This window comes from Homo sapiens, chromosome 19 (assembly GCF_000001405.40).
Source record: "Homo sapiens chromosome 19, GRCh38.p14 Primary Assembly".
In the NCBI taxonomy this organism is placed as follows: Eukaryota; Metazoa; Chordata; class Mammalia; order Primates; family Hominidae; genus Homo; species Homo sapiens.
This window is the reverse complement of record NC_000019.10, coordinates 32,375,835-32,388,711: the sequence shown is the minus strand read 5'-3', so window position 1 is coordinate 32,388,711 and position 12,877 is coordinate 32,375,835. Positions and strand designations below refer to the sequence as shown.

At 38.5% G+C, this 12,877-nt stretch overlaps 1 protein-coding gene across 2 annotated transcripts in view; it reads right to left on the bottom strand.

Annotated features, from left to right (window-relative positions):
• Window positions 1-1,044: 1,044 nt before the first annotated feature.
• The window catches only part of ZNF507 (zinc finger protein 507), a 42,058-nt gene continuing 30,225 nt past the window's right edge, over window positions 1,045-12,877 (bottom strand). For both annotated transcript variants that reach the window (NM_001136156.2, NM_014910.5), the window contains 2 exons: window positions 6,111-6,245; window positions 1,045-5,995 (listed from right to left, as the gene is read on the bottom strand). In NM_001136156.2, coding sequence (NP_001129628.1) covers window positions 5,629-5,995; window positions 6,111-6,245 — 502 coding nt within the window. In that variant the 3' untranslated portion in view covers window positions 1,045-5,628. The remainder of the gene's footprint in view (window positions 5,996-6,110; window positions 6,246-12,877) is intronic.

The following is a 12,877-nucleotide window of genomic DNA, read 5'->3' as shown; positions in this document are numbered from 1 at the left end:
CATTTCATGCTCCGCTGATTTGGATTCTGAGATACACACCAAAACACACTACCTAAGTCAGTCTATCGTATGGCACCAATTAGTAACTTCTCTATGAATTTACAGGGCCAAAAATGTTCTCATTTTACATATTCACTGATTGACTTGGAAGAAATCTATGTATAAGAGTATGGACTTTTTCGTAGCTCTGCCAGTTTAATCAACAGCTCTAGACCAAAGCCAACTACCACCTCCTCCCTACCTTTGAAGCTGGCTTTGGAGTTGCACATGCTATTCATTATAAAGAGGTGCATTTAAGACTCTTTTCTTTATATCCTGGATTATTCAATTCAACTGTCACCCCAGCCAAGTGGATTAGTCACTGGGGTTACGTTGCACCATGGTTACATTTGCAGGCCATGTGCTGTAGTCCCACACCACTGACAGGGTGAAGCCGTGGGGGCCAACATCAACACCGTAAAGCTGTCAGGAGGCAAGCGAGACTTTTTATAGCTGCATTTTGAATTAGTTTATTATTTAATTATGCATTGTTATTTCAAACTGGCTTTAAATATCAGCGATGGAATAGGTTAAAGTCATAAAATATGGTTAAAATCTGTAGACAGGTAGACTATAAAAATTACAAAGGAAGAAACTAATTTAGTTATAAAGCACTACTATAAAAAGCTTTCTTTGTAAAAAGCCGTTTTCTTCCTGGTAGCTCTAGAGCACAAATTATACCATTGTTCTAGTTCAGAGGTCTAGTCAGAAGACTTTTTCTATCAGATAGGTGGTAAATTAGGTTTTGTGGGCCATAGAGTCTCTGTCACAATTACTCAGTGCTGCTGTTGTACCTTGAAAATAGCCATATATGATATGTACACACACAAAAGCATGGCTGTGTGCCAATAAAACTTTATTTGCCAAAACAGGTGGCAGGTTGGCTTTGAAGAGAGGGCCCTAGTTTGCTAATCTCTCTTCTGTACCAGCGCTGTCCAAAAGAAATATAATGTAAGCCACATATGTAATTTAAAACTGTTTAGTAGCTAAAGAAACAGGTAAAACTAATTTTAATATTTTATTTAAACCAAAATATCATTTCAACATGTAATCAATATAAAAAACTGTTAATACATTTCCATTCTTTTTGTACTAAGTCTTTGCAACTGCTATGTATTTTACACTTAGATATTATAGTGGCTGCCACACTGGACCATACGTTCTAGAGCTTCCATGCTCGGATTCTTTAATTTGGAGGTTAGTGACACAGTTTCAGATTGGGTTTTTCAAAGACAGGGGATATGATTATGTTGTCCCTGGGAAGCATGGGACGAAATATTTGGCCTTGGTCACTTTCAACTGAGGTGACCCAGGATTCTAGGGCACAAATGGATAACCAGACCCACGATACAGTCAGATGATGTTAGCTTCGTCAATGCAACAAATATGTCAATAGCTGTCTGTATAGACGACAGAGTGATCAAGGTGTGAACATATCACTGTAGTTTTTGGCCTTCACTAAGGAATGCTAATTCCTTCGTCAATAGCAGAACTAGTCTTTAGCACTTTGACTATATCAGAATTGAAAGCATATAAGCGTGTCACATTTGGAAGAGAAACTGAACTGGGTAGCAAGGAAAAAAGCTTCAAAATTAGACTTAATTTTTAAAATGATTTAAAAAGCTAAATGCTTATTCAGTTTATCTTCGTGTAACAGTCTAATGCTAGTCAGCAACAGATTAACAAGTTATCAAGAGTCATCATAACCTTCATTTAACTCTTGGGAAGCTTTTAATTATTTACAACTTTCTAAGCAATAAAGTCATCATTTCCAGGAAAAGAATGAACACAACCTGTGGTTAATAGAACTTGGAGCCAAGTTTTTTTTAACAAAAAATTTATTACCAAAATACAATATTAAAGTCAATACATGACAAACTCCTGTAAAGCAAAATAAATTATTCTAACATTGTACAGTATTTCCAAAGGTAGTTAAAGAAGCACTACAGACCTTGCCTCACTGTTCTGAACAGATGAACTGCTCTCCCATGAACACAGTCCTAGAGTTTCCGCTTTAAGGCATGCAGCTTGATGTGCAGGATAATTTTACAAAATGCAAATCATCCTATTTTAATAAGATACAGTGTCAGAATTAACTGTAGTCTTTACATGTCAGTATTCCAGAAATTTTTATACTTTGGCTATAGAAGCAATGCCATAGTGTTACACAATACTTATTTCTTAAAAAAATACATGTATTCATGTTCATGAATATCAAACGCAAATTTCTATTAAATATATTTTATCGAATATTACTTAGAGCACCTTGCTGTACAATTTAAAAAGATTAAATAAGTGTCTATGAAAACTAAAAACACAATAAGTCTCAACAGAGAAGCCTGCTTGTCTTTGTCAAGCCAATTACAGCACGGGAAGGTGCAATGTAAACATGGATGCCCACCATTTACTTTGTGAGAAAAAAAACAGAAAATTATGAAGCCACCAGCAGCCACCTTCAATAGGAAGAAAGATCCAGAACAAAGGCTTCGGTCGGTGTCACAACATTGCACTATCTGGCCAAAGAACTTGGACTACCGATCAAATGGAATATTAGCATGATACTGTTGAACACTGGGACACCCGCCATATTCTGGATGATTAGAGAAAGGGAGAAAATGATAGAGCCCTGAAAAGTATTCTTTATAATGATCAGAATGCATCATCTTCCCCCCTCCCCACCTTTGCCATATGTAGTTTCTTTTCAAAGCTATTTTCACTATCACGTCTTAGTATTTTTTAAGTGTTCGGAGCAGAAAACAAATACTATGAGCTCTGTCTAATAAGAAGTCAATACCAATAAATAACATGTTATTCTATGAAGGAATTCCTACTGAATTTTTTTTTTGGGGGGGGAGGTAAACAGAGGACCTCATCTGTCACCCCGGTTGGAGTGCAATGGTGCCATCACGGCTCACTGCAAGCCTCTATCTCCCAGGCTCAAGTGATCCTCCCACCTTAACCTCCCAAGTAGCTGGTGCTACAGGCACGTGCCAACTATGCCTGGCTAATTTTTAATTTCTTGTAGAGACAGGGTCTCCCCGTGTTGCCCAGGCTGGTCTTAAACTTCTGGACTCAAGCAGTCCTCCAGCCTTGGCCTTCTAAAGTATTGGGATTACAGGTGTGAGCCACTATGCCCAGGCTACTGATTATTTTAATAGCTATCTCTTCTACAGTTAGAATTGCATAATCTTCATTATTACTTTTAGAAAACTCAATTGTTCTTGGTAGACACATTGTTAACTTAAGGCTTGCCACAAAATGATAATGGGAAGGGAAAGAACCTCCTTGATATATGCTTCCTCCTATCGGCCAGGAGAAAGCTTTTAAGGACAATTCTAAGGCCAGAATCAGATGAAACTTTAAAGGCTTTGAACTTCTGGGTTAGTTTTTTCCCCATGAGGTGGGGAAATTTTAAATCCATGATTCCAGGTGGAAAATTTAAGTAACAATCAATGGAATTAGTTTAAAGAAATAAAGGTAATTTAAAAATTCACATCATTGAAATTTTGGGGATGCTTTTCATTATTATTTTCTAAATATGATATAAAACTAAAGCCAAGGAAATTTTCTAAGACAAAATCCTTCTAAGGTTGTTGATTTTCAGAACAACAGATTTTTATAAAGAAATACTGAGTCATTGTACCAGCAATGAAAAAACTGACTTACAATATGAGTGGCAACAGTATGGGTAATAATAATGAAATCATTTTAAATGTTCTATTTGAATTTGAAATTAAAATGTTTCAATTCCGAAAAAAGGAGAAAATGAATATAAGTCCACATACAGTGGATTTGAGGAATATAGTATATATAAATCCATTTCATATTTTTAAAAACCACGTATCAGAAATGGATTAACTTTCATAAATAAATTAAAGCTACCTAAATAAAAAAGCTGCAAAGTTACAATCATTTATGTTTGTTTAAATATCACCAAAATGAGATTAGAAAGAAAGAAAAAAAAATCAGAAAATGTTGCAAGATGCCTGGCCCCACTTAAATAATTCCTAATAATAATTTTATAAATATTAATCCAATCATACCTGGACTTTAGGAACAGAATACTTCTTAAAACGTGCCTACAGCGTATCCCATTCGAAAACCTTTACAGTGTTCCAAGTTGATCGGTCACAGCCTCATCCAGGTGTTAGAAATCAATATTCAGATATTCGGAAATAGCACCGTGAGGATGGTGCACAGAAGAGCGCACCGACCTTTTCACTTGTAGGCAGAATTTACTTAAACAAAACAATGCATAAATGAGTAATCAGAACTACAAAAACAAAAACACCCTGTTTTCTTCACTCCTTGAAATAATTAAAATACAAAATGTGTAATTAATAAGATTACATCTATTTGATGGTGAGTTTTAATGCTAAAGCACTTTGTGTTGGTTTTCCATATGTCCTATCGCACTCTAACAAAATAGAATTTCCAGATAGGAAGAATCCTATAGACTTGCCAAATGCTATTTGTTATTAAAATTTTTACAAACAACCTGAATTTCTGCTATATTTTAGTCACATTTGGTTATATTCCTCTTCTGCTAAATATAACTAAATTAATATACCCCAGGAAAGAAAAGCTCAACACAGCAGTACTCATTTTCAGGAGCTTTTAAATTTCACCCCTCATCCCCTAAGGGATTTTTGGAAATAGTTCAAACTATTTCCAATGCCGGATGATCAAATGTAAATTTTCATACATTGTTTCTTTCACACACTTTCAGATAACAAGTGTGGTTTCATTTAGCAGAGTATTAGAAGGTCTACGTACTATGGAGAAAGTATGCCAAGTTCTGACAGACACTGAAAAGAACCTCTGAGAACACGGAAGACGATTTAGCATTACTACGAATTGAGATCTGGTTTGAGTCTGGTGAGAATTCACCTGTTTCGTCCTCTGCTCACAAGAAATTCATCGTAAATTTAAGACAATACTTCTTGAATGCCTATTTACAATCTAGCTTTGAATTTAGAGATCTTTCCTTTCTTTTTTAAGGAGTAAAGGAACATGTCCTAGATTGAGTATGATTAATTTCTATCAATTTAGGTATTTCAGTAGATCATTTCAAAGCCCTCTAATTATGTTTCCTTGTTGACTCTGTTGGTGACACTGAAAAAACCCCCTCCCAGAACTGCCTCCCATTTCTCACTGGAGGCCTCACAGTCTGCATTTGACAAGTGAGAAGAAAACTAAGCTCTGCTTAAGACTGTGACCCTTTTATGACTTTTAGAATAGTTCCTGAAAAGCCCTTTCTTAACTCTTGCTGGCATTTCTACACTCTAATAAGCTTTTATTAATAAATACACTCGACACTAAGAAGGGGTGACAGAGGGTTAATACAGGATTACACCTCTACTTCCTCTTTGACCCACTCCCCCTCACTCAAAATATTTAAATATCATTACTGCTTGTCCATTTGGAATTCCTTTTATTACAAGTTTGGTTCCAAAGTCACATCTGTCATTTCCTCAAAAATCACATCAACGACTTCTTCTGTGGCAGGAAGTTGTCTGACAGCGTAAAGGTGAAACTGTGGTGAAGGAATCCTCTTCTACTGCTTTCCTGCTCGAGTCATTATTCCACCTAATTTGTGTTTAGAGCTGTATTGTGGTCCTTATTCAGGATGATGTTTACAATTTCACCCTCGTGCTCTTTCATATGATCCAAGAGGTTTTCTTTGCTGGTTGATTCAAAACCACAAATACAACAGCAGAAGAGTAAAACGCAGTACTCCATGCTAGGAGGGGCCAGACTGGAGATTTTTTCTAAACTATATGAGGTATTACTTGTAGGGCTCAGTTTCTCATTCTCGTTGGTACCCAGAACTTCACTGGGAGTCTGGGACATCAGTTCTGAAGATGACACTGCATTTTCTGAACTTCCAGTGACGGGATCTGCACTCTCTTCACTGCTCTTTAATTGAGTCTTTCCAGGGGATTTCCCCAGAACTCTTAAAAACAAAACAAACACAGCACACCGTGAGGAGGCTACAATGTAGGACTAGTAGATTTAATCCTGGCTTTAATTTACATATAGCAATAAAGGGAGGGGGTAGGATGAAATACCTGCCACTTTGTGAAATCGCGTCGTTAATAGCCTTGTTTACTTGTTCGTAGTTGTAATTTTGGTCACTTGCATGTTTCCACATATGAGACTTCAAAGAAGGAGGATGGCTACACACATACCCACACAGAGAGCATCTGGAAGACAGGCAGGCAAGGGAAAATCAGAACGGTCCCATAACATCAGTGAAAAATTATCATGATTCTGTAACAATTATTATAGCCCTTCCTCCGAACCCTTATTAGACATATCGTATTTCACTGAATCTAAGATGTTACTGATTCTAAGAGGTACACTGATTTCAGAGAGGTCCTAGAATGGAAGTCCTAGAATCAATGAAAGAAGGTCTTTTATATTATAAAGAATTAGTAAGAATCAAGACAAACATTCCAGATTACTTTAGTTATTACAATATTTGGAAAGATTTTTGATGTAGTAATATGCAAAATATTTGCTCTAAATTATTTAATCATACAAAGAAAAACTTACACAATTAATACTTTGTACCACTCTACTACTTGAGAAAGCAAAAAGGAACGAAATGATTTTCAACATGAACTGTGCATTCTTTATAGATCCACAAAAAATGGAAGCAGTCGTCTTGAAAAAGCTTCAGCAATTTAGATTTCATAAATAAAACAAATAATCTTAAAAAGTTTCTATTAGAAAACATAATTGTTCCACATACTTGAGTACACTTGGTAAAATCTGAATTTAACAATGAAAGATTTTTAGAAAAATTAATAGACTTTATTTTTTAGATGCCTTTAGGTTTACAGAAAAAACTGGTCAGATAGAACTGAGTCCTCCTATAACCCCTCCTCCCCTGCACCCAATTCCTCCCATTATTAACATCAGTGTGCTGTATTTGTTATAAATGATGAATCTATATTGATAAATTTTTATTAACAAAAGTCCATAGTTTACATTAGGGTCCACTATTTGTGTTGTACAATTCTGTGGGGTTTTTTGTTGTTGTTGTTGTTGTTGTTGTTTGAGATAGAGTCTTGCTCTGTCTCCCAGGCTGGAGTGCAGTCTTGCTCTGTCGTGATCTTGGCTCACTGCAACCTCTGCCTCCTGGGTTCAAGCGATTCTCATGCCTCAGCCTCCTGAGTAGCTGGGATTACAGGCATGCACTTCCACGCCTGCCTAATTTTCATATTTTTGGTAGAGATGGGGTTTCACTATGTTGTCCAGGCTGGTCTTGAACTCCTGGCCTCAAGTGATCCACCTGCCTCCCAAAGTGCTGAGATTACAGGTGTGAGCCACCATGCCCAGCCAATTCTGTTTTGACAAAGGTATAATGCCATGAATCCACCATTCCAGCGTCATATGAATAGTTTCACTGCCCTAAAAATGCCCTGTACTCCACCTTTTCATCCTTCCTTCCTGCCCCTGAATCCCGGGCAACCACTGATCTTTTTGTTGACTCCATAGTTTTGCCTTTCCCAGAAGATCACATAATTGGAATCATAGCGATATGCATGTATGGTTTTTACATGTCTTTCAGGGCTTGATCATTCTTATTGCTGAGTAATATTACATTGTGTGGATGTATCATAGTTTGTTTGTTCACTCACCTGCTGAACAATATCTTGGTTGCTTCCAGTTTTTTGCAATTATGAATAATTGGTGATAGGAACATTCATGTGCAAAGTTGTTTTGTTTTGCTTTTGAGTCTGGGCCTTACTCTGTTGCCCAGGCTGGAGTACAGTGGCATGACCATAGCTCACTACAGTCTCAAACTCCCGGGCTCAAGCAATCCTCTTGCCTCAGCTTCCCAGCAAGCGCAGGTTTTTATAAGGAAAGCCCAAGTTTTTATAAGGATAAAAGTTGTCATCATTTGGGCAAACACTCAGGAGCATAATTGCTGGGTCGTATTGTAAAACTGTCATCTTTTTAGGAAACTGCAAATGCACTTTTCCAAAGACATTTTTGTTAAATACTTAATTACAAACCTAACAAACCAGATAACTTACTTACCTGAACTCTTTCCTACACCAATAAGAGACACAGTCAGCAATAACGAGGCACAAAGAAAATCAAACGGCATAGGAGTAAATAAAACAATTAAATACGGTCAAAGACTAAACTCTTTTTCTCACCCACCTCCAATTTAACTTTGTGATAGCATGCAGCTGTATTCTTTTATCATACACTCTGAGGAATCAGGTCCAAGGCCAAAGGTCTCTAAGAAATACCAGCCCACTTAACAGGCAATAAACAGGCAGTTAGTTCTTTTTTTTTTGAGACAGGGTCTTGCTCTGTTGCCCAGGCTTGAGTGCAGTGGTGGAATCATGGCTCACTGCAGCCTTGGCCTCCTGGACTCAAGTGATCCTCCTACCTCATACTCCCTAAGTGCTAGGATTACAGGCATGAGCTACCATACCCGGCCTAAATAGGCAATTCTTGATAGGACTTCTAATAAATTCAACTATATGAAAAGATGTTCAATCTCACTAACAATCAGGGAAATGTATCACACCCCTCAGACTGGCAAAGATAAGTGAGTCTGATAAAATGTGGAATCTGATAAATCTGGTAAGATTTTTCACAGATGTGGAAAAATGGAAATGTACAAATTTTATGTATGGCACTCTGAAGAGCAATTTGGCAATATCTATTAAGGCTGAAGTGGCACACACCTGTAGTCCCACAATTCTGGTGTTCACAAGGAAACACATACAAGAATCATCCTAGCCATGAACACCAAAAAAGGATACAACCCACAGTGACTGTTCTTCCACAAGCATATGAAAACAAATTGGTTTATTTTCATATAGTGGAATGTTACAAAGTGGAAAAAAAAACAACAACCAAAAAACCCCCATGAGATCTACACTTAGCACCAGAAACCAATGCCAATAATGATCAGTGAAAAGAAAAATAAACAGATCTGTTAAGCTTTTAATTTAAATAAATTGTTAAAACACCAAAACCAACAGAATGTATTACTTAATACATCCATATGTATGTATATACACATACATATGTTATATACATAGAAAAGTTATTCACGAATACCTGCAATGATACACATCACTGTCAAGACAATGGGTTACCTCTCAGGAGGAAGGGGTGAAGAAGTAAGAAAGTGAGGCTTTAGCTATATCTACAATGTTTTATTTCTTCAAAATGTGGTAAAATGTTTGACATTTCATTAAATATTTAAAAAAATTGTTCCCCTATTCTCTTTAAGCTTTTACAGCCTGCATTCTCCTTAAGACTTTATTACAGCTGGCATAATAAAACAAAATCACTACATTTTATTCTTGGTTATCTACAAAAAAACCCTAACCTTAATTCATTTTATTTTGCCCATTTATATCTGAGATGCAGCAATTTTTTGACAAACCTCAATAAATCTATAATATTTTCACTAACATCTTTATCAGAGGGTGGGCAACTGGCAACTTCTCCACCCCCAAGCCATTAAACTCAGTGTCTGTATCTGTGACTGTCACACGGTCGTGGTGTGTACTGTAGTGTGGTCACAGTCCCCTGCTCAAATGTCTCTGGATCAGTTGCTTGAGAAGGGCAACTGCCCTGCACCATGATGGCTGGGCACCCAGCTCATTGCCAGCCAAGAGATGCCCACTCCCTTCCGCCTAGTGCCTCTACCAAGGTGACTTTACATATGTTGTGCTATCATACGTTAATTTTTATGTTATGCAGAGGGGAAACAGACACGAAATGCTGGCTGTTCAGACACTCGCCTCCTCACTTTCATTCAGATGTGGTCCCGAGGCCTCACCAGAAAATTCTTTATCTGGAATGATCCCCCAGTGACAAGTCAGACTTATGCAACAAGAATTTCATATTTTTGAGAAAACTGGGTCAGAAAGTAAACTCCAGAAATCTCAAATTGATCCTATAGAACATCTCTAATGTTATTCCAACCTTTTAAAAATAAGAGTGATGAGCTATTGTTTACTGTTTTCCCTTTTTTTTTTAAAAAAAAAAAGCTTCTAATTTTAGAATAGTTACAGGTATAGATACAGATATATAGAAAAGTTATTTCCCTTACTGTTAACATGTTACCTTCCTGGGGTACATCTGCCATAAATCAGGAGCCAATGTTCCTTACATCATTATTAACTGAAGTCCACACTTTATTCGGATTTCCCTGGTGTGTACTTAACATCCTGTTTCTGTTCCACGACCCCATCCAGGACAACATGGCTTTTAGTCCTCACGTCTCCTTAAGATCTTCTAGACTGCAATTATTTCTCCTACTTGCCTTGTCTCTTTGAGACGGAGTTTCACTCTGGCGCCCAGGCTGGAGTGCAGCGTTGTGGTCTCGGAAAACTGCAACCTCCGCCTCCCAGGTTCAAGCGATTCTCCTGCCTCAGCCTCCCGAGTAGCTGGGATTACAGGTGTGTGCCACCACGCCTGGCTAATTTTTGCATTTTTAGTAGAGATGGGGTTTCGTCATGTTAGCCAGGCTGGTTTCTAACTCCTGACCTCAGGTGATCGCCTGCCTCACCCTCTCAAAGTGCTGGGATTACACGCACTGAGCCACCAAGCCCGGCCAACTTGCCTTGTTTTTAATGCCCTTGACAGATCTGAGGAACATGGGTCAGATATTTTGTAAAATGTCCCTCAGGTTGGGGCTGTCTGCTGTTTTTTTTCATGGTTAGACTGAGCTGATGGGTTCTTGGGAGAAAGGCTACAAAGGAAAAGGGCCATCCTCCCCACATCCCACTCTCAGGAGAACTCACCCCTGACCTTCCTCCCCTGGCTGAGGTCAGGTTTCTCCAGGGTCAAGTTCCTCTTTCTCAACCCGGTTTCCAAAGTGTACCACTGGGAAGGGGGTCACTGGGTGCAGCCCACACGTAAGAGCTGGGATAATCAACTGCCTCCTTGAGGGAGGGGTATCTACGTCAATTACATGGAATTCTTTTGCATGGGGTGTGTCTATTCTCACCCACCTATTCAACCATTTATATACATCAGTATGGACACGTGGTTATTTTATACTTTGGGATGTGGGCAGCAAGCCACCTAGGTGCCGAGGCAAGAGACCGAGGGCACGAGCTGTTCCAGTATAATAAAATATATAAAACAACAAGAGTTAATGCTAGATATAGATCATAGATATGATTATATATGAATATCATTAATCATTAGTTTGTAGCAATTACTCTTTATTCCAATACTATTATAATCTTTGCTCTATAATCATAACCTAGGAAAAACCAGGCCATATAGAGATAGGAGCGGAAGGGACACAGTGAGAAGTGACCAGAAGACAAGAGTGCGAGCCTTCTGTTATGCCTGGACAGGGCCACCAGAGGGCTCCTTGGTCTAGCGGTAATGCCAGCATCTGGGAAGATGCCCATTGCCAAGCGGACCATGGTCTAGCGGTAGCGTCAGTGTCAAGGAAAAACACTCGCTACTTAGCAGACTGGGAAAGAGAGTCTCCCTTTCCCCAGGAGAGTTTAGAGAAGACTCTACTCCTCCACCTCTTGTGGAGGGCCTGACATGAGTCAGGCCCGCCCGCAGTTATCTGGAGGCCTAACCATCTCCCTGTGATGCTGTGCTTCAGTGGCCACGCTCCTAGTCTGCTTTCATGTTCCATCCTGTACACCTGGCTCTGCCTTTTAGTTAACAGTAGCAAAATTAGTGAAAGTACTAAAAGTCTCTGATATGCAGAAATAATGGCGTAAGCTGTCTCTCTCTCTCTCCCTCTCTCTCTCTGCCTCTGCTGCCAGGCAGGGAAGGGCCCCCTGTCCAGTGGACACGTGACCCATGTGACCTTACCTATCATTGGAGATGACTCAACACTCCTTACCCTGCCCCTTTGTCTTGTATCCAATAAATATCAGCGCAGCCTGGCATCTGGGGCCACTACCGGTCTCCGCGTCTTGGTAGTAGTGGTCCCGCAGGCCCAGCTGTCTTTTCTTTTATCTCTTTGTCTTGTGTCTTTATTTCTACAATCTCTCGTCTCTGCACACAGGGAGAAAAACCCACCGATCATGTGGGGCTGGTCCCTACATTGGTGCAAATTCTGTATTGCACTATTTATTTTGTTGCTCAAACTCCTCCAGCCTTGCCCCCTGGGCCTCTGTGGTTGGGTCCCGTGTCCTGCTGCCACACCTCAAGTTTTGTTTCTTAAGCACTTCCTTACATGCTGGACCTGAGACGCTCCAGGATCACTTTGCATATTCCCCACCACAGTCCTAGACTAGACTGATAATTTCTCCAGTTCTTTTATTGGAGAAAGGTATCAGAAACCAAGATTTGGGTGACAGGTGAACTGCTTTAATTTTGTAAATAACTTTTTTCCTGATTTCAAAAATTCGCTGTAGAAAATTAGAAATATATAGGAAAAAAAAGAAAATAAAAATCACTCATAGCGTTATCACTAGATATAACCATTATTATTATTTTGAGGTCTATTTTTCAGTATTTAAAAATACATATATTTTTATAAAATTGGAATTATGGAAGGCTACTGTTATAATTTAAACTTTCTACAATAAAGTATTTAATGACTACAATAAGCTGCCTAGCATTTCACATTGGATGGAATTGGTGGAATTCCATTTAATTCTCTATTGTTTTATGCAGAATATATAATTCTGACAATTGACAATCATCTTTGTATAAAAATCTTAGGCACTTAAAGCTTCTGAGAACACAGTTTATAAACTTTAATTTGTGCACCAGCATGTGCTCATTCTTTTAGGGGAGGCTTATTCTAGGAATACAGACAGTTCAGTATTAGGAGCTTCATTATTATGAGTCACCATTTGAAAGGATTGGA